Source organism: Homo sapiens, chromosome 9 (genome assembly GCF_000001405.40).
Source record: "Homo sapiens chromosome 9, GRCh38.p14 Primary Assembly".
In the NCBI taxonomy this organism is placed as follows: Eukaryota; Metazoa; Chordata; class Mammalia; order Primates; family Hominidae; genus Homo; species Homo sapiens.
In genome coordinates, this window is record NC_000009.12 from 128,158,305 (window position 1) to 128,183,199 (window position 24,895).

The 24,895-nt window shown below is 53.8% G+C and overlaps 2 protein-coding genes across 8 annotated transcripts in view, besides 6 other annotated features; one reads left to right on the forward strand and one right to left on the reverse strand.

The window, feature by feature from the left end:
- Nucleotides 862-1,815: an enhancer, noted in NCBI's record as "H3K27ac-H3K4me1 hESC enhancer chr9:130921445-130922398 (GRCh37/hg19 assembly coordinates)". NCBI's record gives its function as "activates a minimal SCP1, AML or CMV promoter by ChIP-STARR-seq in naive H9 embryonic stem cells {active_cell/tissue: H9 hESC(naive)}" and the evidence as "EXISTENCE:reporter gene assay evidence [ECO:0000049][PMID:30033119]".
- Nucleotides 862-2,769: a biological region, named in NCBI's record as "H3K27ac-H3K4me1 hESC enhancers GRCh37_chr9:130921445-130922398 and GRCh37_chr9:130922399-130923352".
- Nucleotides 1,701-1,910: a silencer, noted in NCBI's record as "silent region_20328". NCBI's record gives its function as "represses an Ori minimal core promoter by ATAC-STARR-seq in GM12878 lymphoblastoid cells {active_cell/tissue: GM12878}" and the evidence as "EXISTENCE:reporter gene assay evidence [ECO:0000049][PMID:35858748]".
- Nucleotides 1,816-2,769: an enhancer, noted in NCBI's record as "H3K27ac-H3K4me1 hESC enhancer chr9:130922399-130923352 (GRCh37/hg19 assembly coordinates)". NCBI's record gives its function as "activates a minimal SCP1, AML or CMV promoter by ChIP-STARR-seq in primed H9 embryonic stem cells {active_cell/tissue: H9 hESC(primed)}" and the evidence as "EXISTENCE:reporter gene assay evidence [ECO:0000049][PMID:30033119]".
- BBLN (bublin coiled coil protein) lies at nucleotides 1,961-5,620 on the forward strand. The gene is made up of 2 exons (NM_024112.4): nucleotides 1,961-2,182; nucleotides 5,139-5,620. Exons 1-2 carry the CDS (start codon nucleotides 2,104-2,106, stop codon nucleotides 5,309-5,311), a joined length of 252 nt encoding a protein of 83 aa, NP_077017.1. The 5' UTR covers nucleotides 1,961-2,103; the 3' UTR covers nucleotides 5,312-5,620.
- Nucleotides 2,121-2,210: a silencer, noted in NCBI's record as "silent region_20329". NCBI's record gives its function as "represses an Ori minimal core promoter by ATAC-STARR-seq in GM12878 lymphoblastoid cells {active_cell/tissue: GM12878}" and the evidence as "EXISTENCE:reporter gene assay evidence [ECO:0000049][PMID:35858748]".
- The window catches only part of CIZ1 (CDKN1A interacting zinc finger protein 1), a 38,158-nt gene continuing 21,023 nt past the window's right edge, over nucleotides 7,761-24,895 (reverse strand). For 3 of the 7 annotated variants that reach the window (NM_012127.3, NM_001257976.2, NM_001131016.2), the window contains 12 exons: nucleotides 22,417-22,510; nucleotides 22,111-22,219; nucleotides 20,405-21,111; nucleotides 20,065-20,186; nucleotides 19,262-19,459; nucleotides 18,047-18,171; nucleotides 11,716-11,803; nucleotides 11,102-11,215; nucleotides 10,748-10,897; nucleotides 8,791-8,860; nucleotides 8,455-8,576; nucleotides 7,761-8,102 (listed from right to left, as the gene is read on the reverse strand). In NM_012127.3, coding sequence (NP_036259.2) covers nucleotides 7,893-8,102; nucleotides 8,455-8,576; nucleotides 8,791-8,860; nucleotides 10,748-10,897; nucleotides 11,102-11,215; nucleotides 11,716-11,803; nucleotides 18,047-18,171; nucleotides 19,262-19,459; nucleotides 20,065-20,186; nucleotides 20,405-21,111; nucleotides 22,111-22,219; nucleotides 22,417-22,510 — 2,109 coding nt within the window. In that variant the 3' untranslated portion in view covers nucleotides 7,761-7,892. Of the gene's footprint in view, nucleotides 8,103-8,454; nucleotides 8,577-8,790; nucleotides 8,861-10,747; nucleotides 10,898-11,101; nucleotides 11,216-11,318; nucleotides 11,397-11,715; nucleotides 11,804-18,046; nucleotides 18,172-19,261; nucleotides 19,460-20,064; nucleotides 20,187-20,404; nucleotides 21,112-22,110; nucleotides 22,220-22,416; nucleotides 22,511-24,895 lie in introns of all 7 variants that reach the window. The other 4 variants (NM_001131015.2, NM_001131018.2, NM_001257975.2 and 1 more) reach the window with 3 other exon arrangements.
- Nucleotides 19,930-20,621: an enhancer, noted in NCBI's record as "H3K4me1 hESC enhancer chr9:130940513-130941204 (GRCh37/hg19 assembly coordinates)". NCBI's record gives its function as "activates a minimal SCP1, AML or CMV promoter by ChIP-STARR-seq in primed H9 embryonic stem cells {active_cell/tissue: H9 hESC(primed)}" and the evidence as "EXISTENCE:reporter gene assay evidence [ECO:0000049][PMID:30033119]".

A 24,895-nucleotide genomic window follows, 5' to 3' on the forward strand; every position in this document is an offset into this window, starting at 1 on the left:
CAGGGCAACATGGTGAAACCTCGTCTCTACTAAAAATAAAAAAAATTAGCTGGGTGTGGTGGCAGGCACATGTAATCCCAGCTACTCAGGAGGCCGAGGCACAAGAATTGCTTGAACCCGGGAAGGAGAGGTTGCAGTGAGCTGAGATCATGCCACTGCACTCCAGCCTGGGCAACAGAGCAAGACTCTGTCTCAAAACAAACAAACAAACAAAGGTAGGTCTGCTCCAGGCCAAACTTTTTATTTATTTATTTTTTGAGACGGATTTTCGCTCTGTTGTCCAGGCTGGAGTGCAGTGGTGCAGTCTCAGCTCACTGCAACCTCTGCCTCGTGGGTTCAAGTGATTCTCCCACCTCAGCCTCCTGAGCAGCTGGGATTACAGGCACACGCCACCACGCCCGGCTTATTTTTGTATTTTTAGTAGAGACGGGTTTTCACCATGTTGGTCAGGCTGGTCTCAAACTCCTGACCTCGTGATCTGCCCGCCTCGGCCTCCCAAAGTGCTGGGATTACAGGCGTGAGCCACCAGGCCTGGCCTTTTTTTTTCTTTTTTTTGAGACAGGGTCTTGCTCTGTTGCTTAGGCTGGAGTGCAAGGGCACGATCTCTGCTCACTGCAACTTCTGCCTCCCAGTTCAAGTGATTCTCCTGCCTCAGCCTCCTGAGTAGCTGGGACTACAGGCGTGTACCACCACACCTGGCTAATTAAACATTTTATTTTTAATTAATTAATTAATTTTTTTTTTTTTAAAGACAGGGTCTCACTCTGTTGCCCAGGCTGTAGTGCAGTGGTGCAGTCATAGCTCACTATAGCCTCGAACTCCTGGGCCCAAGTGATCCTCCTGCCTTAGCCTCCCAAACAGCTGCAACTAAGGTGCATGCCACCAGGTCTGGCTAATTTTTTTTGTGCTTTCTGTAGAGACGGGGGTGGGGGGGGCTGAGTGGGCGGGGGTGGGAGTAGGGTGTCTCACTATGTTTCCCAGGCTGGTCTCCAACTCCTAGGCTCAAGCAATCCTCCCACCTCGGCCTCCCGTAGCGCTGGGATTACAGGTGGGAGCCACCCCGCCTAGCTAATGTTCCTGTTTCTCTTGTCCAGAGCTGGAGTCCAGCCTGATTCCCACCCACAGGTTGTAACCAATGAGCCCTAAGAGAAGCGCTGAAGACCAGGAAGGCCCAGATCCAGGGGTAGGGGTGTTGGGTCCTCTCCACTGGGGTGCAGGCAGAGAGGCAAAGAGGAAGGAGACCCTTCGTGACTCTCAGCGAGGCTGTGAAGAAGAATATCCGGAAGCCACAAGAGGTATATCCGGAAGCCACAAGAGGTGTGGAAACCCCGTTTCCAAGGCTGGGCCCAGTAGCTCGTGCCTGTAATCCCAGCATTTTGGTAGGCTGAGGCGGGTGGATGGCTCGAGCTCAGGAGTTCGAGAGCAGCCTGGGTAACATGGCGAAACCCCTCCCCCCCCCCCCCCCCCGTCTCCAAAAAATACAATAGCCAGCGTGGTGCAGCCGTCTGTAGTCCCAGCTACTCTGGAGGCTCAGGTGGGAGGATCGCTTCAGGCTGGGAGGCAGAGATCACCCCACTGCATTCCAGCCTGGAAGACAGGGCCAGGCCCTATCTCAAAAAATAACAAGGAAACCCCGTTTTCGATTTCGCCAACGCGGAGGGGCCGAAGCAGCAGATGGGCTTGGACGGTCTCCCGCCGCTCCTCCCGGACCTCCCTACTCCTGGGCTTTTCCAGGGGCAGCCCCGTGGTGGCCCCGCCCAGCGCCCGGGAGAGGGGCGAGGCCGGGGGCGGAATGGGCGGAGTTCGACTGTGAGGGAGGTGGAGGCGGGAGTCCGGTGGTGGGGGTGGAGTCTGGAGGTAGGGCGGGGCCAGAACAGCGGCGGGGGCGGAGTTCCGGCTGGGGGCGGGGCGGGGCGGAGCGGGAGCTGCGGGATTCCGGCTTCAGGGGCGGGGCACCGGCCTCTGGGCGGAGATCTGCTGCCGCGTTCTACCCTTCCGGCCCGTGTTCTATCCGCCGCCTCCACCTTCCATCCGGCGCCGGCTTTCGGCGCGACGGTCGCCGCGTTCCATCGTCGCGCGGCCCTTCGGGCGCCCGAGCCCGCAATGTCGGGCCCCAACGGAGACCTGGGGATGCCGGTGGAGGCGGGAGCGGAAGGCGAGGAGGACGGCTTCGGGGAAGCAGGTGACCCGAGGGGGCTGCTGGAGCAACCTTGCATTTTCAGGGCTGCCCTCCCGGGAAGGGGAATCGAGATGGGGTCTCGGAAGGGAACAAAGAGCCCACCCATTCCGCCCCGAGCGGGTCCGGAGTTGTAGGTGCTGTCTCGGATGCAGGGCGAGCACCCGCGAGCCGGTTCCCAGCCCCGTGAGAGCTGCAGGTCACCAGTCCCGTTTTACAGATGGGGAAACTAAGGCAGCTTCGGGGACACTCGCCCTTGTGGGCCTTGCTCCACCACTTCCTTCAGTCCTGGGGGAGACCGAGGCACCTGAGGGAGGCAGGGTTGAGCTTAGCGGAGGGGCCGGGCCGGGACGTGGAGTTGGGGACGCGGGGGCGTCGCTCTGCCGATTCAGCATCCCCAGCCACCCGGCTTTGCTGGTGTAGCCTCACAGCCTTGCCAAATGTCAGCAGCTTACAGAGCAGCCTTTTGCGTGCTTACGAGTGCAGGGGTGGGGTGTGAAGAGAACCATCGGCTCCCTTCTCACCTTCTTCAGCCTCAGTTTCCCCCTCTATAAAATAGGAATAACGATTAGTGTCTGCTGCACTGGGATGTGTCAGAATTAAATGCAAAAAAAAGGAAAATCCTTAGCAGGTTCTAGCATGCAAGAGTTCAGTAAATGGTTATCGTCATTATTATCTTTGGTATAGTAAAGATTGGCATGTTAACATACACTGAGGATTTAGTAAATGTGGTGTAAGTATGGTGCATGCTCTTTGTTTTGTTTGGCGTAACAGCTTTATTGAGCTATACAACTTACCCATACTGTACAGTTCAGTAGGCTTTTGTGTATTCCCAGGGTTGTACATCCATCACAATAGTTTCAGGTAGCTCTGCATTGGGCAATGCTGTTGGGAGCATCAGGAAGAGCTTCCCAGGAGGTCACATTAAGTGGATGTTGGCAGACAGGACTTAGAACAGTGGGGAGGAGGGTGGTGTCCCAGGCAGAAGCAAAGGCTTGGAACTGGGAAGTACCCTTGACACAGATAAAGCCTGGCCTGGAGGGGTGTGGGGCACCTGCCTCCCCAATTCCTCCTCCTAGCCTGTATCCCAGGACACAGAGTTCGAAATATTGATAATAATGACCATCCACTAAGTACTTGCTGTGGCCAGATCCTGTCTGAGCTTTTTTTTTTTTTTTGAGTCGGAGTCTTGCTCTGTTGCCCAGGCTGGAGTACAGTGGCGTGATCTTGGCTCACTGCAACCTCCGCCTTCTGGGTTCAAGCGATTCTCATGCCTCAGCCTCCCGAGTAGCTGGGACTACAGACGCCTGCCACCACGCCTGGCTAATTTTTATACATCTTTAGTAGAGACAATGTTTCACCACGTCGGCTAGGCTGGTCTCGAACTCCTGACCTCAGGTGATCCACCCGCCTTGGCTTCCCAAAGTACTGGGATTACAGGCGTGAGCCACCACACCGGCCACTGTCTGAACTCTTGATGTGTTTGAATCCTCACAACCTTTTTTATTTTCCCTTTTTTCCAGAAAGGTACAACTTGCTGGGGTAAAGCAGAGCTGAAATTCAAACCCAAGTGACCCTGACCCCCAAGTCCAATCCTGAGTTTCGGCTGTTACCAACCTGGAGGACCCTGGGCAGGTTCCTTCCTTCTGAGGCCTCGGTTTCCCTAGCTATATACCATGAGGGGGTTGGACTTTAAGATGCAGCCGATTTCCCAGGACGCTGTCGTCTGTGAGGGTGGCTGGCTCTAGGCAACGGGTGCCCTTTCCTAGAACACAGGCACATATGCACCCATAACCCAGATACGCTCCTCCAGCTCCTCCACCGGCTGCTTCCCCCTTGGTCTCAAGCTGGCAGCTGAGTGTATGTGAGTCATGGGCTGGCTCAGAACTGGGTCCCGCAGTGGGCACAGGCCCAGACCTTGAGTCCTCAGGGACACTGTGTTGCTGAGCAGGGCAGCTCTGGAGTGGCCGTGGAGGGGAGGGAGTGATGGTTTCTAGTGGAGACCAGGGAAGGCTTCTTGGAGGAGGCATTTTGAGCTGGTCCTTGAAGGGCTGTTGTGGTTGAGGCATTCTAGGTTGCAGGGATAGTTGAGCAATGGCGGAGAGGCTGGAAAGTCAGAGGCTTCATTCATTCACTCACTCAGTCATTCAACAAATGCTTATTGCAAAACTGTGAGGGCACCAGGGAGCCAGCAGCGAACACAGGACCGTTCATCTTTCATGGGGAAACATAACAGCACTCAGATAAGCACAGCAGTCAATCCTGGAGAGAAGGTCGTGGAGGGCTGAGGAGGGCTAGGGGCTCAGCATAGAGGCCTGATCCAGTCTGGGGCATTGGGTGGGCTCCCGGTGGTGACATCCATACTGAGACTTGAAGGATGAGTGGGACTCATCCAGGAGGAGAGAAGGGAAGGAAGATGGGAGGACCCAGCACCTTCCAGGCAGAGACAGCAGCATGTTCAAAGGGCCTGAGGTAGGTAAAGGCAGGTGTGAGAGAGGAAAGGAAGAGGCAGGGAGGCAGGGCTAGCTAGGAGGCAGGGGCTGGAGACTCCGCTGGGTGTTTTATCCTGAGGGAGCCACAGAAGGGCTGGCGAACAGGGCCCATCTGGGGACAGAGGCCTTGAATGCCCAACTCAGGAATGTGGGCTCTGGCCACTAAGCAGCTGCTGCAGGAAGTGCAGAGACTTGGCATCTGGCAGGACTTCCCATGTAGGACACTGGCTCGCCACCCTATGACCACCCTAACCCTAGAAAAAAGGATGCAGTACTAAAGTGTCATTCATTCAAAGCCACTCCTCTTTTGGTATTCCACCCATTTTCCAGACGGTGACACTGAGGCTCAGGAAGCAGTAGGGACTTGCACAAAGCCCTTTGGGAAGCAGGCTGGGAAACAGTGGAGGGAGGGTGTCCATTAGCCCCAAGGAGACACAGGATCTGGGCTCTGTCTTTCGCCTTCCTCCCAGAATACGCTGCCATCAACTCCATGCTGGACCAGATCAACTCCTGTCTGGACCACCTGGAGGAGAAGAATGACCACCTCCACGCCCGCCTCCAGGAGCTGCTGGAGTCCAACCGGCAGACACGCCTGGAGTTCCAGCAGCAGCTCGGGGAGGCCCCCAGTGATGCCAGCCCCTAGGCTCCAAGAGCCCCCAACCGGGACCCAACCCTGCCTCCCTGGGCTAGGCTCTGGCCTGGGCACTCACCCCCTGGCTTAGACACCTTCTCAAGGGCTGGCCTTCAGGGACCCCTGGTGGGTCTGCCTGCCTGGGCCACCCTTCCTGCCTGGGCCTCCCCTTGGCCTACCTGGGCCAGCCCCCACCACCTGGCATGCCCTCCTGGGGCCAAGAGTGGGCCTGCAACCCACCCACTTGCCTGCCCACCCAACTCCTGGGCGCTCCCCACTCTGCCCAGGCCTTGAGTGTCCACATTAAATGGGTCTCCCACACCGCTGTGCCTCTCTCCTCTGTATCCCAGGACGAGAACCCCAGCAGCTGCTGGAGGCGAACAGGACTGTCTAGGTGTTCAGGTGTTGATCCTATACTGGCGGCTCAGAGGCCAGGTGGTAGGGCTGGGGTTCTTGGTCACCTGTACTTCTGGACACAGAAGGTGCAGGTGAGGGCAGGGCTTCCTCCCTACCTGATACATTCCTGGCCAGCAGCTGCTTCCTAGCCCAGAAGCCCAGTTGAGACTGTTGGACATGCTGTGTGACCTTGTGTGATGCTCTCAGCCTCTCTGGGTACTAGGGCCTTTCACCAAGACAGCCAACATGCTAAGACATGCTATGCAGCCTCAGCATTGCCCTCCCACTCTTGGCCTGTCTCCCCAGTAATAGGGTTGGTCTGGTCGTTTATCTCTATGGGTCTTTCTAATGAGGAAATAGCAGAAGTAAAGGGCCAACTCAGCCCAGGCCCCATCCACCCATGATTCATCTTAGGGTCGCCTGACCAGGAGGGTGGGGTGCCTGCTAGTGAACCAAGAAGAGAACCAGAGGGCCTGAGCAGCAAGGACCCCACTCCTGCACTCCAAAGGGTGCAGCTGGAGAGACAGGCCAGCATGGGTCGGAGAGCTCAGGCCCGGGTCAAATCCCAGCCACTTACCAACTGCGTGGTCTTCAGCAAGTCACTTGACCTTGCTAGGCCTCCAGCCAAAGGAACTTCCCCAGCTCTGATACGTTATTAAGAGGGAAACTTGGCCACGCACAGTGGCTCACACCTATAATCCCAGCAGTTTGGAATGCCACAGTGGGCGGATTGCTCGAGCCCAGGAATTTGAGACCAGCCTGGGGAACATGGCGAAACACCATCTCTACCAAGAACATACAAAAAATTACCCAGGCGTGATGGCGCACGCCTGTGGTCCCAGCTACTCGGGAAGTTGAGGTGGGAGGATGGCTTAAGCCTGGGAGGCAGAGGTTGCAGTGAGCCAAGATTGGCACCACTGTACTCCAGTTTGAGCAACACAGCCAGACCCCGCCTCAAAAAAATAAAAATTAGCCATGTGCGGTGGCTCACGCCTGTAATCTCAGCACTTTGGGAGGCCAAGGCAGGCAGATCATTTAAGGTCAGGAGTTCAAGACCAGCCTCGCCAACATGGCGAAACCCTGTCTATACTAAAAATACAAAAAGTTGGGCGTGGTGGTGTGCACCTGTAATCCCAGCTCCTCAGGAGGCTGAGGTAGGAGAATCACTTGAACCTGGGAGGTGGAGGTTTCAGTGAGCTGAGATCGGGTCATTGCACTCCATCCTGAGAGACAGCGAGACTCCATCTCAAAAAATAAATAAAAATAAAAATTAAAATTTTTTTTTTGAGATGGAGTCACCTAGGCTGGAGTGCAATGGCACGATCTCGGCTCACTGCAACCTCTGCCTCCCAGGTTGAAGCGATTCTCCTGCCTCACTGTCTCAGCCTCCCGAGTAGCTGGGATTACAGGTGCGCGCCACCATGCCTGGCTAATTGTATTTTTAGTAGAGACGGGATTTCTCCATGTTAGCCAAGCTGATCTCAAACTCCTGACCTCAGGTGACCCGCCCACCTCAGCCTCCCAAAGTACTGGGATTATAGGCATGAGCCACCCCGCCTGGCTCAAAAATTAAAATTTTTTTTTTTGAGATGGAGTCTCACTCTTTTGCCCAAGCTGGAGTGCACAGGCACGATCTCGGCTCACTGCAACCTCCACCTCCCGGGTTCAAGCAATTCTCCCTGCCTCAGCCTCCCGAGTAGCTGGGATTACAGGCGCCCGCCACAACACCCAGCTAATTTTTGTATTTTTTAGTGGAGACGGTTTTGCCATGTTGGCCAGGCTGGTTTTGAACTCCTGACCTCAGGTGATCCACCCGTCTCAGCCTCCCAAAGTGCTGGGATTACAGGTGTGAGCCACCACGCCCCGCCTAAAAATTTTTTTAAAAGAGGGATACCCAAGTTCAGACAGGTGAAGTGCCTCATGATCCAGAGTCCCTGGTTCCCAGGGAGCCTGTCTGGCCTTCTGTTTCTGCCACCACATGGCCCAGAGAGGCTGGGTGCTGGCTGAGAGTTGGCTGGGGTGCCCCCCTTCCCCTATCCACCCAGACAGAAGTACTGGTGGGAACTGCACAGCCAAACTACCTTGTTTTATTGGATTTTGAGTAAAAACATGAACCATGTCAAAGTTTCCAGGCAGACTCCTAAAAAGCATTAGCAGATCTGGACCCAGGCAGGCCAGGGACAGGGAGGTCCCTCTATCAGGTTTTGAGGCGGGTTGAGCGCCGAGGTAGTGGGGGCTGGGAGGGTCGAGCCGTCACCTTGCTGGGTGTTTTGTCCTGGGTGTTGGGCTGGGAGGGTGGGCGGCCGCTGGAGGTGAACAGGGCTGTCAAAGCGTTCCGGGCGTTGATTGCGCACCGGCGGCTCACAGGTCGGGTGGTGGGGCTGGGGTTCTTGGCCGCCTTGTATTTCTGGATACAGAAGGTGCAGGTAAGGTCAGGGTCTCCTCCCTACATGGTATGCTCCTGGCCAGCAGCTACTTCCCCAGCTCTGGCTGAGACAGTATTAGTGTGCTCTGTGACCCTGCGTGATGCACTCGGCCTCTCTGGGCCGTCTCTGGAGCTAACAGCCTGGCACTCAGCATCCCCTTGAACAATAAGAGCCCAACCCCACCCCAGCTCTAATTCTCTCCCTGTTGGTGCAGGGGTGGTGCCTGGGGATTGAGGCCCTGCACAAGAGGGAGTGGCCACTAGCCACCCGAATCAGCTTGGATTAAGACTAAGTCTGTGGCCAGGGGAGGACAGGGCAGGATGTCCGGCTCACCTGCAGGTTCTCAAAGTGGCCCAGGGACTTGCAGTGGGAGAGCTGTGCCCCTGAGTTGCTGTGATAGAACTTGTGGCAGATGCGGCAGATATAGCCCATCACGGGCACCAGGAAGTCCACACCTGTAGGATGGGATGGCAGGGTCTGCACTCACATCCCTGTACCAGCGAGGTGTCCCTCCCTCTCTAGGGGCCCATGTGCTCCCCAACCCTCTAGGCAGGGGCAGAAGAGAAGGCTTCCCAGCCAGAATGCCATGGCTGGGATATGGGAGGGTCATGTGGAGGCTGGGCCCAAGGGCTGAAGCTCCTGCAGGTGGGCTCAGAGCTGGGGCCTTACCATATGCAGTATTGGGGCTGTAGGTCTCCGAGCCCTTCCACTCCTCTCTGGATATATCTCTGGACCTCACCTGAAAACATGCAAGTGTGGGCCTCGGATCTGGCTTCCCCTTGACACCTCCCAGACACAGGTCGGGGGCCTAGAGACCACCAATGCCCTTGGACACACAGAATCCCCTTGATTTCCAGGAGGTAGTGGGTGGCATTCTCTGAGCCTTTGCACATGGTGATCCTGCCTCCCAGAGTGCTCTTCCCAATCTATACTTTCTAGACTCTGTTCAACTAGCCCCCTCCTCCAGGAAGCCCTCCTGCTCCTACAGGCGCCATAATCCACGCCAGGTGTGCCCAAGACATCATGTGTCATTTGACTGAATCCTCATAACAGCCCTCTATGGCTACACACATTTTACTAAGAAGAAACTGAGGCCCAGGGACATTAACTCACTTGTCTAGGGTTGCACAGCTGGTTTGTGGAGGAGCTGGGCAGGGAACCCTGTAGGTCTAAGCCGTAGTTCACACTCTTAACCATGAGCCCCCTGCTAACTCCCTGAGGTCCTATCCAATACTGCAGTGACCTTGGTCCTAGAGGGTGGGTTTCAAGGGATCAAAGACTGCATTTCACCTGCTGGATGTGAGATGAGGTCATCTGACTCTGGCCGTGTCAGCCCTAGCAGGCCTAGCAGTGCCCTCCACCACTCACCAGGCAAACAAATGTGGCTTCCAAGAAGGACAACCACCCCCGTTTGCTAAGCCCTTCCTAGGACCAAGCTGTGGGCCCTGGGCTTCCCTGATAGTCCAAGTTCAGGTTGTTACTTCTGAGCAGAGGCAACTGAGGCTCAGAGAGGCCAAGTGGCTTGCCTGAGATGATGTGACTACTGAGCAATGAAGCTGGGCCTCATACTACCCTGCCTAGGACTGCAGGCCCCCCCACCACAACGCTTCCTCCCCAGCCCCTCAATACCCCACTTTGGCTGCCAGAGGCTATGAGCAGCCCCAGCTGGCCCCTCACCACCCTGGACTATAACTGGGTCAGCCTTTGAGGGCAAGGACCAGGCCTTGGCCCTCATGGGTCCCTGCTTCCAGCACCAGGGCCTGACCTAGAACACACTCTCTGGAAACGTGTTAAACTGCAAAGAATCTGGCTGGGCATGGTGGCTCACGCCTGTAATCCCAGCACTTTGGTAGGCCGAGGTGGGTGGATCACCTGAGGTCAGGAGTTCGAGACCAGCCTGGCCAATATGGTGAAACCCCGTCTCTACTAAAAATACAAAAATTAGCCGGGCGTGGTGGTGGGCACCTGTGATCCCAGCTACTTGGGAGGCTGAGGCATGAGAATCGCATGAACCCAGGAGGTGGAGGTTTCAGTGAGCTGAGATCGCACCATTGTACTCTAGCCTGGGCGACAGAGCGAGACTCCGTCTTGAAAAAAAAAAAGAAAAAAAAAAAAAAACTGCAACGAATCCAAGCTCCTCCAGCTCCTCATTCATGAGAGACAGGGTAGCTGCGGCATTGGAAACATGGACTCTGAAGTTTTACTTCCTGCCATCCAATCTGATGAGATTCAGCCAGGATAGTGCTTGGTACACACACCTGGAACACACTAAGTGCTCAAAAAGATGTCTGCTGCTGTCAGTCTCTCCATTATCATCACCATCATCTGACTTTTCCTTTGCACACTACATAGTTTCCCACCTCCGTGCCTTTACTGATGCTGTTCCCTTTCCCTTCCTCCACACAGGTCCAAATTTCAGTCAGGCTTTGCATATTTTAACTGCCACTCTCTAGTCATCATGCATAATTACATAGTCATGCAGAAGGCAGTTGACAGTAATCAGTTGTGGCATGCATTAGTGCCCACAGATGCCAGCCCAGTGTCTGGCCTCCGGGAGGTGGGATGAGGTCTGTCCTGGGCTGGGAATCCAGCACCAAGCCCGCCTCCCACACCCTCCCCCCAGCACCTGCTTGCAGAGTTCCTCCTCAACCTCGATCTCTTCTTCATCCTCATCATCCTCTTCCTCTTCTTCATCACCCTCGAAGCAACCCACAGCGTCCACTGTAATGAAGTGGTCCTCATCTTGGCCAGCAATTTCTTTCTCAAGCGACTTCAGCTGCCCAGGGAGTAGGCAAGGAGCTCAGGTCAGCTCTGAACAGCCAGGGGGCCATGCCCTACCCACCCCACCCCTCCCCTGAGAGTCCCAATCCCTCCAGACCCGCTGTGAGTTTGGGCTGGGATAAACCTCAACTTGCTACACAGCCTTGGCCAAGGCTCTGTACCTCTCTGGGCCCATGTCCTCTGAGGGAGCTCAGGTTACCTCCTTGGCTTTGTCCTTATGCCCCTGGGACTTCACGTGCTCCACAAACTTGCGAGGGGTTTTGAAGTAGCGGTTGCAAACGGTGCAGAAGGGTCGCAAGGATTGTTTGGCAATCTGGAAAAAGGCAGGCCAACCAAGCAGTGTCCCCAGCTGCAAGCCCCCTGACTAGCACCCAGGCAGGGCCCAGCAAGAGCTCACCTCCCCCGGGCAGGCCCACCATATCTGTAACAAGCCGGGCTGTGCTCCACCCCTGCACTGGAACGTGGGCAAACACATCTCTTCGTGGTGTGGGTGGCTGAGAGATAGGATGGCAGATGGCAACACAGAGACAGGACAGACACAGAGAGAAGACGAGAGAGAGGGCAGCTGCCCAAATAACCCCTGTGAGCCCCGTGGCTGAATGGCAGGTGAGATGGGGCCTGGCCTACACTGGACAGATGGGGAACCTGAAGCCCGAAGAAGAAACAAGACTGACTCCTCCAGAAACTGCATTGTGGGTTATGGGTGTGCAGGGGCAAAGAGGAACGTTTACTTTCCAACTGGGGCTCTGTGTTGTCTGGACTCCACTTGCAGACGGCAGTGCGGGTGCCTCTGCAGCGTGCAGGCCCTCCTACCTTGTGGTCCTGTGTCCTGCGGTGTTGGATCAGGTCCCCCATGTAGTAGAGCTGGCAGGTGTTGCACCAGCGCCTTGGTGGAGGCTCCCTGAATGACAACAGTCAAAGCAAGTACAATGTGACGCCAGAAAGACAGCAGCTGTCTGAGAGCGCTCCATAAGTGTAATCCATTCCAATAGCAACTCCCACAGGATCTCTTAGGGAAGCTTAACAAAATGGTTCTGAGGTTCATCTGGATGAGTACTTAAGCAGAAATAACCCAGGAAACTTTAGGGGGAAGGGGAATGAAGCACTGGGGATACCAACCTTTAAAATGAAAACCACAAGCTACAATAGATAAAACTGTGTAGTGTGATGTACATCCTGACAGTGTATCAGTGGGAAAGAATGGAAAGTCCTAAACAGGTTCAAATATTGGTAAGAATTCAGCTTCGCCAGCCTGGGCAACATGGGGAAACCCCATCTCTAGCAAAAATACAAAAAATTAGCCAGGCATGGTGGCTCATGCACCTGTGGTCCCAGGTACTCAGGAGGCTGGGGTGGGAGGATGGCTTGAGCCTGGGAGGCAGAAGTTGCAGTGAACCAAGATAGCGCCACTGCACTCCAACCTGGGTGACAGGGTGAGACCCCCATCTCAAAAAAAAGAATTCTGCTTCTGATAAATTGGTATTGAAAAGCATAGATTATACAACAAATTATGTCAGAACAATTTGTTGTCTACTTGGAGAAGAAACGCCTTCTGCTTCCACCTTCTACCTTACTTGAAAATGAATTCTAGCTGAACTACCAGAGATTCAGGCATAAAAATAAAAACCATATACTTTAAAAAGGGAGGCCGGGCATAGTGGCTCACACCTGTAATCCCAGTCCTCAAGGCAGAAGGACTGCTTGAGCCCAGGAGTTTGAGACCAACCTGAGCAACACAGCAAGACCCCATCTCTACAAAACATAAAAAACATTAGCTGGGTTTGGTGGCACATGCCTGTAGTCCTAGCTGCTCAGAAGCTGAGGTGGGAGGATTGCTTGAGCCCAGGAGGTCGAGGCTGCAGTGAACCATGACTGCCACTGCACTCCAGCTGGGGCAACACAAGACGCTGTCTCAAAAATAAATAATAAATAAATAAAAAGGGGGCCAGTCGCAGTGGCTCATGCCTATAATCCCAGCACTTTGGGAGGCTGAGGCAGGAGGATCGCTTGAGCCTAGAAGTCCAAGACCAGCCTAGGCAACATAGTGAGATCTTGTCTCTATATAAAATAAAATTAGTCAGGCATGGTGGTGTGCACCTATAGTCCTAGTTACTTGGAAAGTTGAGGTGGGAGAATTCCTTGAGCCCAGGAGGTTAAGGTTGCAGTGAGCCGAGATCACCATTGCCCTCCAGCCTGGGTGACAGAGAGAGACCCGGTCTCAAAAAATAAAATAAAATAGGGCCGGGCACGGTGGCTCACGCCTGTAATCCCAGCACTTTGGGAGGCCAAGGCAGGCACATCATAAGGTCAAGAGTTCAAGACCAGCCTGACCAACATGGTGAAACCCCATCTCTACTAAGAATACAAAAAAAAAAAAAAAATTAGCCGGGTGTGGTGGCACGCGCCTGTAATCCCAGCTACTCGGGAGGCTGAGGCAGGAGAATTGCTTGAACCCAGGAGGCGGAGGTTGCAGTGAGCCAAGATCGCGCCACTGCACTCTAGCCTGGGCAAAAGAGCAAGACTCCGTCTCAGAAAATAAATAAATAAATAAATAAAATAATACTTATTTTACAAGGGGAGAGCAACTATTTAATCTTGGGTTGGGAAAGATCATTGCAACATATAACATCAAAGCCAGAAATCATAAAGGAAAAAACTGATAGATCCGATTGCATAAAAATTTAAAACTTCTACATGTTGAAAGATATAAGAAAATTAAAAAGCAAACAAATGTCAATGACAAGGGCTGTGCTATCACTGGCCAGAGTGTATCCTTTATGTAGGCAGCTTCTTAAACCAAGGCTGGGCATACCGCTGGTTCACGCCTGTAATCCCAGCACTTTGGGAGGAGGGTTCCTTGAGCTCAGGAGTTCTGAGGCTGCATTGAGCTGTGATCACACCACTACGCTCCAGCCTGGGTGACAGAGTGAGACACTGTCTCAAAAAAAAAAAAAAAAAAAAAAAAAAAAAAGAAAAAAGAAAAGCCAAATACATGTAAAACCCTGGCTGGGCATGGTGGCTCACGCCTGTAATCCCAGCACTTTGGGAGGCCAAGGCAGGCGGATCACTGAGGTCAGGAGTTCAAGACCAGTCTGGCCAACATGGTGAAACCCTGTCTCTACTAAAAATACAAAAAAATTATCCAGGCGTTGTGGCAGGCACCTGTAATCCCAGCTACTTAGGAGGCTGAGGCGGGAGAATTGCTTGAACTGGGAGACGGAGGTTGCAGTGAGCCAAGATTGCGCCACTGCACTCCAGCCTGGGCAACGGAGCGAGACTCCCTCTCAAAAAAAAACCAAAAAAAGTGTCTCACTCAGCGAAAATAAGGACTCTCTATAAAATATGCAAATACACAAGTTTTCATAAATTTTAGGGGACACATGTCCACTGATAAAGCCCTGTAAGAGCTCTGCTGGGGAGGGCTGCTTAGAGACAGAAAGTGTTCGTGTTGTCATGTAGCATGATTCCGATTTTTATTTTTAAAGATTGTATAAATCCAGAAAGGATCACAAGAAGAACTAGGTCAAAATGTAAACAGTGTTTATCTCTGGGTAATGGGATTATGGGTGATTTTTATCTTCTCATGTGTCTGTGTCCTTGTATTTTCAAAACGTTATATAATGAGCGAATTATTTTTAAAATCAGAAAAAAAAATTTTTTTGTAGTCAAAAAAGGCACATCAGCCACACAGTGAGAGTACCAGGTTTTAGATTTTAGGATTTAGGGACATTTACTGTCCTCAGTAAAATCTTCTTAATACTGCTGCAAGCAACAAAATCAGACTTTAAAGCAGCTTGCTCCAGGCTGGAGTGCAGTGGCATGATCAAGGCTTACTGCAGCCTCTACCTCCTGGGCTCGAGCAATCCTCCCACCTCAGCCTCCTAAGTAGCCAGGACTACAAGTGCATGCCACCAGGCCTGGCTAATTTCTTTTTTTTTTTTTTTTTTTTTTTTTTTGAGACGGAGTCTCGCTCTGTCGCCCAGGCTGGAGTGCAGTGGCGCGATCTTGGCTTACTGCAAGCTCCGCCTCCTGGGTTCAGGCCATTCTCCTGCCTCAGCCTCCCAAGTAGCTGGGACTACAGGCGCCTGCCACCACGCCCGGCTAATTTTTTGTATTTTTTAGTAGAGACGGGGTTTCACCGTGTTAGCCATGATGGTCTCGATCTCCTGACCTCATGATCCACCCGCCTCAGCCTCCCAAAGTGCTGGGATTACAGGCGTGAGCTACCGCGCCCGGCCGGCTAATTTTTTTATAGTTTACAGAGACACAGGTCTCATGACGGGCTGGTCTTGAACTCCTAAACTCAAGCAATCCCCCCACCTCAGCCTCCCAAAGTGCTGGGATTATAGGTGTGAGCCACCATGCCAGCCTGGCTCTATTTTTCAATGTGCATTTTGATCTCTGTGAGAGAAAAACACAACAAATGAAGAAAGGGGGTGGGGAGAGAACATGGTCATCAAACAGGCAGACACCTTGTGCCAGTGTCACGTCTGAGGCTGCCCAGAAACGGCCAACGCGGGCCGGGCATGGTGGCTTGCACCTGTAATCCCAGCACTTTGGGAGGCCAAGGCGGGCAGATCACAAGGTCAGGAGATCAAGACCATCCTGGCTAACACAGAGAAACCCTGTCTCTACTAAAAATACAAAAAATTAGCCGGGCCTAGTGGTAGGCGCCTGTAGTCCCAGCTACTCGGGAGGCGGAGGCAGGAGAATGGCGTGAACCCAGGAGGCGGAGCTTGCAGTGAGCCGAGATCGCGCCACTGCACTCCAGCCTGGGTGACAGAGCGAGACTCCATCTCAAAAACAAAACAAAAAAACAAAAAAAAAAAACAAAGAAATAGCTAAGGTAGGCAAGGGCTTAGTTCACAGCACCTGCCCTGGGGGCTTTGAGGAGGGAGGAGACGGGCACCCCCACCAGCTAGGGTATTGGGATCCAGCCTTCAGCCCCATTCCTGGGAACACCCCCCTGCCTTCCATGGGGAAATGTATTTCCATGTGGTTTGGGTAGAGCTGGCCTGCCTAGGCCTAGCCAGTCAGAACACCTTATCCCTGGCCAGGGGATTGCTTCAGAAACGTGCACGTGACCACAATCAGATTAACCAGCATTTCCACTAGAAACTGTTCTGCTACCGCAGACACAGGTGACTGCCCTTCCTTGGAAGTCACTGTGCAGGGAGGCTGGGGCTGTGGGTACCTGGTGCCCACTGTAGTGAGAGATGGAGCCTCTCTAAGAAATGGTATCCCCTGGGTCCAGCTGTATCTCTTATATTCCCACTAACCTAAGCCAGAAACATTGTTCCTTTTTGCTCAAGCTAATTTCTGTCTTATAGAAATTAGAATTTTTTTCACTTACAACCGCGAAGAACCCCCACTGATGCAGGAAGACAGTATTGATGTCTTTGTGTTGGGGACCAAGGTGAGGGGGTCGTAGGTAGGGACTGGAGGGACTTTTTAAATTTTTGTTGTTGTTTTTGAGACAGAATCTCTCTGTCACCCAGGCTGAAGTGCAGTGGCGCGATCTCGGCTCACTGCAACCTCCGCCCCCAGGTTCAAGCAATTCTCCTGCCTCAGCCTCCCGAGTAGCTGGGATCACAGGCATGCACCACCATGCCCAGCTAATTTTGTATTTTTAGTACAGAGGGGGTTTCACCATGTTGGCCAGGCTGGTCTTGAACTCCTGACCTCAGGTGATCCGCCCATCTCAGCTTCCCAGAGTGCTAGGATTACAGGCCTGAGCCACTGCGCCTGACCATAATGTTCTTGATGGCCTCAGGGCCAAGTAGGATTCAAGAGAAGACTTCATGGAGAGATAACATTGGGAGAGGGTTTGATGAATCCCCGACACCTCAAGTTTGTTAACAGCTTGTGCTACGTATGTCCTTTTAGTTTTCTTCTGTGTCACAAGATCTATTCTTACACAAACAAGCTCATTCTGCAGATGCAATTTTGAATCCTGTTTTACTTTGACATTGCATCACCTTTCCACATTATTATAAATTCTCCAGTTATTCTATTTATTCATTGTTCCACGAGCTGGACGGGCTTTTTCATCATCTAACCAGTCCCCTACTTTCGAGTATTTTAGATCATTTCCCGTTAGATTTTTTCATCATGATACTAATAGCAAAGAACGTCTTGGTGAGTCATCATTCTCCTGTGTTTATGATTATTTCAACCAAGTAGAAAACCACTCAAGGACGCTCTTCTCAAAGGGAGAAACAGCTAACAGAGACACAGCCTGCCCTTGCAGAGCGAGAGCCCCCTGTCACACAAGGCAGGCAAGCGGAGGCCAACCAAGAGCCCTTCCTGTCCCCTCAGCCCCACCTGGAAGCTTCAAATTGTGACCTCTGTAAAATTAGGACAGAGCCCGTGACCACTGACTCAAGGGACCGTCCAGCCTATGAAAGTGTTTGATTTGCTCTCCGTAGGGTTTGTTTTGTTTCAATTCTGAACTAGCTGTTAACATTTTGAAATTGGGAGATTTCACATACAAACCTGGATTTCTGGATTCTTCTTAAAACTAAGAGATCCAGAGATGAGAAGCAGCTGTCTCCTGAGACAGAGCCTGTGTCCCCGCTGTGGCCCTAGCTAACATGGTCCTGCTGCTGAGATGACACATCCCAGCCCTTGCACACCTCTATGACTGCCCACAGAGTCCTGAAAGCACCTCTGGCTGCCTGCCAGGCCTTCCCACCCCAGTATAGTTCCAGACCCCAGGAGGGCTGAAGTTTCTGATTAAACAGGCTCCCATGACAATGAAAGGGGGAGACACAGGGAAACCCTAACCTCCAACCACAAAAGAACCTGATCCTCAGCCTTGTCACCCCACAGCGGGGTTAGCACACATGCCACAGGGGGCAAGAGTCTGTGCCACAACCTGTCCTCTCCCACAGGGATGGTCATACTGTTCCTGCCTAGAGGGAACCTTAAGAGAATGTCATGAATTCCTGTACTATATCCGTCACCAAGCCATGTTACAGGCAGGGAAAACTGAGGTTCAAGGTCACACAGTTAACAGTGTGAGGAGGCCTGGCTGGGGGTGCAGTGCTTAACCCAAAGGTAAACCCTGCAGATGGTAGATTCAGGCCCTGGCCGATGAGACTGCCTACCCCCCAACACAGAGCTTCCACGATCCCCCACTCACTCATCCTCTGTCTCCAGGACGTCCCGGGGCACGGGCAGCAGGGACAGGAGGCAGGCTTGGCTCATGTGCTGGATCTCCCCTAGCCGCTGCTGGTGCTGAGGCTCCGACATGTGGTCCTGGAACTCCTGCAGCAGGAGGGAAAGAGGGATGGGCCTGGGGCGTGAGCCCAGAACAGTGGGCAAGGCTGGGGCCTGGGGAGGCAGACCCCAGCCTCATCACTGTGCGCCCATTTCTCTCACCACACATTTCTCTCTTGTGTAGGCTAGAGCAGGCATGATAAACTAAGACACAGGGTACATGCCAGCCCGAGCTTCTGCCCCTCCCAGAGAATGTGTGAGTGCCTCAAAGACAAGGAGCGGCCTGATTAGCATCCAGGTCTCCAAGGCTGTGCCAGGTGAGGCACAGAGTAACACAGCTCACAGCACAAGAGTAGTAATACAAGTACAATGCGATCATGATTACTGCTACACTCACTTTGGGCCAGGCCTGCGCTCAGGACTCCAATGTCACATTGCTGAATCCCCAGAACCACCCAGTGAGGTGGATTCTAAACGTTTCTTTTTTTTGTTTCGTTTTGAGAGTCTCGCTCTGTTACCCAGGCTGGAGCACAGTGGCATGATCTTGGCTCACTGCAACCTCTGCCTCCTGGGTTCAAGCAATTCTTCTGCCTCAGCCTCCTGAGTAGCTGGGATTACAGAAGCATGCCAACACATATTTTTAGTAGAGACGGGGTTTCACCATGTTGTTCAGGCTGGTCTCAAACTCCTGACCTTGTGATCCACCCACCTCAGCCTCCCAAAGTGCTGGGATTACAGGCGTGAGCCACTGTGCCCGACCCTAAACTTTCCTTTGTCTGATGCAAGAGGAAACAGGCACAGGGTGGAATTCGCTTTCCAAGGTCTCCCAGCTACTCAGAGCCGATATGAACCAGGTCTGACTGACTCTAAAAACCTGCTTGAGCCCAAGAGGTAGAGGCTGCAGTGAGCTGAGATCATGCCACTGCACTCCAACCTGGGAGGCAGAGTAAGACCCTGTCTCAAAACAAAAAACAAAACCACCAAAACCTGCCTTCTTGGCAGGTCAGGAAATGTTTCCCAAGCAAATGCATGGCTGCTTGGGGCAGGGCCCATTGCAGCCTGAGGCATTCTTGGGAGGGCAGGCTGGGCATTCCACGCAGGCCCCACCCCTCCCCACCCTTATCTCCTGTATCAGTACCTGCTGGCTGGAGCAGCTGGCCTTGCAGATGTAGCAGAAGAACTGGAGGGCCTGCTTAGAGGGAGTGCTGGTAGCCGCAGGGGTGGAGGAGACGGAGTCACTGGGGCGGGGGACAGGTGTCAGGGGTACAGTGCTAAAGGCCCGGCTGTCACTGCTCTGCAGAATGGTGACCTTCAGGGAGCCCCCGGCGCCCCATACCTGCATGGGGAGTAGGAACTGAACTTCCATCAACTGTGTACTTATAGTGGGCCAGCCCAGCATTCAACATCTGCCAACGTTGTCTCATCAGATCTTCCTGATGATAGGGAAACTGAGGCTCTGAGCTGTTAGCTGACTACCCCAGCTTGCACAGCTAGAAAGCACTGCAGTCAGGATGCGAACCCAGGTCGGCCTAAAGTACCACTCATCCCACCCCTTGTATGACAGATGGGGAAACAGACTCAGGAGGGAAAGGGTTTGCCCACAGTTACGCAGAGCTGGGACCCAAATCCCACAGAGAGGCTTCCACTCTGTGCTCTCTCCACGAGAGCAACATTACCCATGCGAGGAGACTGGGGCTCTGGCTTGGGGATGGGCAGGCTGGAAGGGACGGATGTGAAGACAGCACAACAGCAAGAGGGTCCCATGCACACCACTATCAAGCCCAGCCTGGTCTGGCCACCCATCCTAGGCAGAGGGCTGTCATCCCATTTCACGGTGGGGGAAACACAAGGAGGCCCTGAGGTGGCCTGGGGCAGAAAGAGGCCATCCCACCCTGCTGGGCTCTGTGGCCCTCACACTGCCACATCAGGGCCTCTACCCACCCCTGGCATCTCTCTCGCTCTGTTTTCACATTCTCCCACATCTAGGCCACAGGCCGACTCATTCTGAATCTCTTCCATGCTGACTTGGGTGCCCACAGGCTCTGGCAAGGTCTTTTCCATGCCTGAAATGACAGATGTGCTGTATTTCCCAGAGTCCCCAGGCCCAAGAGCTGCCTTCTCCGTCCGCAGCCAGAACCTTGAGGCCCCCAGCATGGATGGCCCTGGACCTGGGTTCCAGGCCTAGCCCTCAGTCCCAGGCAGCACCCAGTCAGGGGAGGAATGAAGGGTCTGGGCAGAGCTGTCCCATCACCAGACCAGCTGGGAGCCAGTGCTCACTTACCTCCACCAGCTTCTACTGCATCAGGTGGCATCTCCAGCCCGCAGACATGAACCACAACTGGTGTTTGCTCTGGAGCCAGCAACGACACCTGCGGCTGGGTGTGAGGCTGCTCATGGGTCTGCTCTGGTGGCTGTACTGACACCTGCGCTGGAGGATGCTCCTGTGGCTGGACGCTTGGCTGTGCCTGTGTGTGGACCTGTGGATATGTCTGTGTCTGGACCTGCTTCTGCAGCTGCAGCTGCACCTGCCTTGGGGGCTGTGAATGTGCCTGGGGCTGCACCTGTGGCTGCACCTGCTTCAGCGGCTCTGCCTCCTGCTGCAGCTGCACCTGCCTTGGGCCCTGTGAATGTGCCTGTGGCTGTACCTGTGGCTGCACCTGCTTCTGTGGCTCTGCCTCCTGCTGCAGCTGTGGCTGCACCTGCTTCTGTTGCAGCACTAAGTGCTCTGGAGAGGTCTGTGTTTGCGCCTGCTTCTGCAGCTTTGGCTGCACCTGGGTGTCTGTGGATGGTATCCGCGGCTGAGTCTGTGACTGCACCTGGGCCTGGACCTGCAGGACCCGTGGCTGGAATCGTGGCAGCACTTGGGCTTCCAGGGCCTCAGGCAGCAGGTCTGGTGTCTGTGTCTGTTTCGGTACTGTCATCCGGGCCTGCGGCTGGGCCTTCACCTGTAACTGCCCTGGAGGTTCCTTCTCTGTGGGCTCTTCTGAGCTAGGAAGGATCAAAAAAAAATCCCAGTCATGTCTTCAAAGAGGCCCCAGGGGCTCCCAAGTAAGGCCAAAACTAGGCCGAGCGTGGTGGCTCGCATCTGTAAACCCAGCACTTTGGGAGGCTGAGGCAGGTGGATCATTTGAGGTCAGGAGTTCCAGATCAGCCTAACCAACATGGTGAAACCTGGGATTACAGGTGTGAGCCACCGCGCCCAGCCCAAGACTGTTTCTTTTTGTTTGTTTTTGGTTTTTTGTTGTTGTTTGTTTGTTTTTTTGAGATGGAGTTTCGCTCTTGTTGCCCAGGCTGGAGTGCAATGGCGCGATCTCGGCTCACCACAACCTCCGTCTCCCAGGTCCAAGCGATTCTCCTGCCTCAGCCTCCGGAGTAGCTGGGATTACAGACATGCGCCACCACACCCAGCTAATTTTGTACTTTTAGTAGAGACGGGGTTTCTCCATGTTGGTCAGGTTGGTCTCAAACTCCCAACCTCAGGTGATCCGCCCGCCTCAGCCTCCCAAAGTGCTGGGATTACAGGTGTGAGCCACCACATACAGCCCAAGACTTGGTTTCTAATGCTGGCTCTACCACTTACAGGCTGGGGATTTGGGCAAACTCCTTTGGCTGTCTAGGCCTCAGATTCACCTAAATAAACCGGGGAGGATCGTTCTCACCTCCCACAACTTGCTGACATGTATCCAATTGGCTTTGTAAATGGCCTGCCCACTACGGTCCCAGATGAACGTCTTCACCCCTCCCACGCAGCCATCCAGCTTGGCCCCCAGGTGGCTCAGTCTCAAGGAAGACACCAGAGTCTGGCTGGGAGCTTCCCCAGGTCAGGTGCGGAAATAAGTAAGGCCTTCCTCCAAATCAGAGGCCAAGGCCCTTTCCTTGCTCCAGCTCCACTGAATGGTGCACCCCCTCTGCCATTGCCACCCCTGCCTTTGCAGGAATGAGAGCACAGGGCACCCGGGCGCAGGTCAGGTTTTCAGCATCAGTTACCTCCTCAATCTCTTTGCTGGCAGCTCGGACGCCTCACAAGGCTCAGGCTCAGGTGCTGGAGTGCGTTTTTCCTTGGCGATGTCCTCTGGGCAGGGCGGTAAATCTTGGTCTGGAATGGAGGCATGAGCGAGGGAACTCATGTTGGGAAGAGCAAGCATCTCTGACCTCCAAGAGATGGGGCCTGGGCTCCCCGCCTTCCCACCAAGAACCCCTGCCTCCCACACCTGCCTCTATCACCTGCTGACCCGCCCACTGGCCCCACCCCATTCATGTCCCTCTGAAGGGCCAGCAGCCTCCCTCCCTCACCTTCTGGTGTGTCCATCCGGGGCTCTGCGGCTTCCTCAGACCCCTCTGGGGGGTCTGACTTGTCTTCCACAGGCATTGTCTGAGAAGAAGAATCCTGCTTCCTTTCAGAAACTATGTTGACATCCAATACCCACCCCTATCAATACCCCCTTGCCCAAGGGCAGCTGCCCCCCATCCTCCAGGGGATGACAGGGCCCTGAGGACCTCTGGTGGGCCTGGCCCCAGAGTTGCCGAGTGGATGATCTTAGTAAAAATGTCCCAACCATGGTGTCTAGGGGATTCTACCTAGTTGTCTGTTAAATAAACCCAGGTTTGGAGGACACAAAGCCTTCTCCTGGCCACAGTGCTACCTCCTGACCTGACTTCCCACCCAGTTTTACATGAAGTAGCCAGTGGGGTCCTTTTTTTTTTTGAGACAGAATTTCAGTCTTGTGGCCTAGGCTGGAGTGCAATAGCACAATCCCGGCTCACTGCAACCTCTGCCTCCTGGGTTCAAGCAATTCTCCTGCCTCAGCCTCCCAAATAGCTGGGATTACAGGCACACGCCACCACGCCTGGCTAATTTTTGTATTTTTAGTAGAGTTGGGGTTTCACTATGTTGGCCACGCTGGTATCTGTGGGTGGCAAGCCACCCAGGCACCGAGGCAAGAGACAGAGGACACGAGCTGTTCCAGTATAATAAAATATAAAACAAGAATTGTTATACCAGATATAGATCTTAGATATGATTATATATGAGTATCATTAATCATTAGTTGGTAGCAATTACTTTTTATTCCAATATTATGATAATCCTCACTCAATAATCATAGCCTAGGAAAAACCAGGCCATACAGAGATAGGAGCTGAGGGGACATAGTGAGAAGTGACCAGAAGACAAGAGCGTGAGCCTTCTGTTATGCCTGGGCAGGGCCACCAGAGGGCTCCTTGGTCTAGCGGTGACGCCAGCGTCTGGGAAGACGCCCGTTACCAGGCGGATCATGGTCCAGCAGTAGCAAAAGGCGTCAAGGAACAACACCCGCTACTTAGCAGACCAGGAAAGGCGGGGGGGGGGGGGGGGTCTCCCTTTCCCCGAGGGAGTTTAGAGAAGACTCTGCTCCTCCACCTCTTGTGGAGGGCCTGACATCAGTCAGGCTTGCCCGCAGTTATCAGGAGGCCTAACCGTCTCCCTGTGATGCTGTGCTTCAGTGGTCACGCTCCTAGTCTGCCTTCATGTTCCATCCTGTACACCTGGCTCTGCCTTCCAGATAGTAGTAGTCAATTAGTGAAAATACTAATAGTCCCTGATATGCAGAAATAATGGCGTAAGCTGTCTTTCTCTTTGTCTCCTCTCCCTCTCTGCCTCGGCTGCCAGGCAGGGAAGGGCCCCCTGTCCAGTGGACACGTGACCCACGTGACCTTACCTATCATTGGAGGTGACTCACATTCTTTACCCTGCCCCTTCTGCCTTGTATCCAATAAATAACAGCGCAGCCCGACATTCGGGGCCACTACCAGTCTCTGCGCATTGGTGGTAGTGGTCCCCCGGGCCCAGCTGCCTTTTCTCTTATCTCTGTCTTGTGTCTTTATTTCTACACTCTCTCGTCGCCGCACACAGGGAGAGACGCACCGACCCTGTGGGGCTGGTCCCTACAGGTCTCAAACTCCTGACCTCAGATGATCTGCCCGCCTCGGCCTCCCAAAGTGCTGGGATTACAGGCGTGAGCCACCACACCTGGCCCAGTGGGGTCCTTCTAAAATGCAAAGCTGATCATGTCTCTTCTTCCAGGCTTAAAGCCCTCCCATGGCTTCCTGCAGCCCTGGTGCACGCCTTACGCCAAGCCTGAAAACACTCTGCACACCCACCCCTTCCCTGCACAAACGGGCCTCTGCACACTACCTGCCCCGGCCATGCCCCCGCAACCAGCCCTCTCTGCTTATCTACCTTGGCCTTCTCTCTGGTCAAGCCCCAGGCCCGTCCCTGCCCCTAGGCCTTCACTTAGAGCCTCAGAAGCACTTCTTGCAGGAAGCCCTCCAGACTCCAGAATGGGTCCAGAACCTACTTCCTTTTCGTGGCATTTCTGTATTCTTTTTTTTTTTCTTCCATAGAGCCAGGGTCTCACTGTGTTTCCTAGGCTAGTCTCGAACTCCTGGGCTCAACTGATCCTCCTGCCTTGGCCTTCCATAGTGCTGGGATTACAGGCATGAGTCATTGCACCCGGCCTCCACAGTCTTAATTAATTGGTTGGAGCATTATTTGCATTAATATCTCTCACCACCCTCCCCATTCCTGTCCAAGACCTCAGGGAGGGCCAGGCCAGATGTATCATCTGCACCAGGGAGTCCCCTGCAGGGGCTTCCAGATGTCTGCTAAATGAACACACAGCTCTCTCTGGCCAGTCCAAGGCACCCCAGGAGGCCACCAGAAGCCTGCAGCCTCCCTCCCTCCCTCCTGCTAAGCCCAAGGAATGAGCACTGAGCAGGGAATGGTAATCTGGAC

Excerpts from the sequence above, each read along its gene's own strand:
- BBLN (NM_024112.4), top strand. The coding sequence starts at position 2,104 with ATGTCGGGCCCCAACGGAGACCTGGGGATGCCGGTGGAGGCGGGAGCG. Across the intron at positions 2,183-5,138 it reads GGACGGCTTCGGGGAAGCAG|AATACGCTGCCATCAACTCC; the intron begins GTGACCCGAGGG and ends CCTTCCTCCCAG.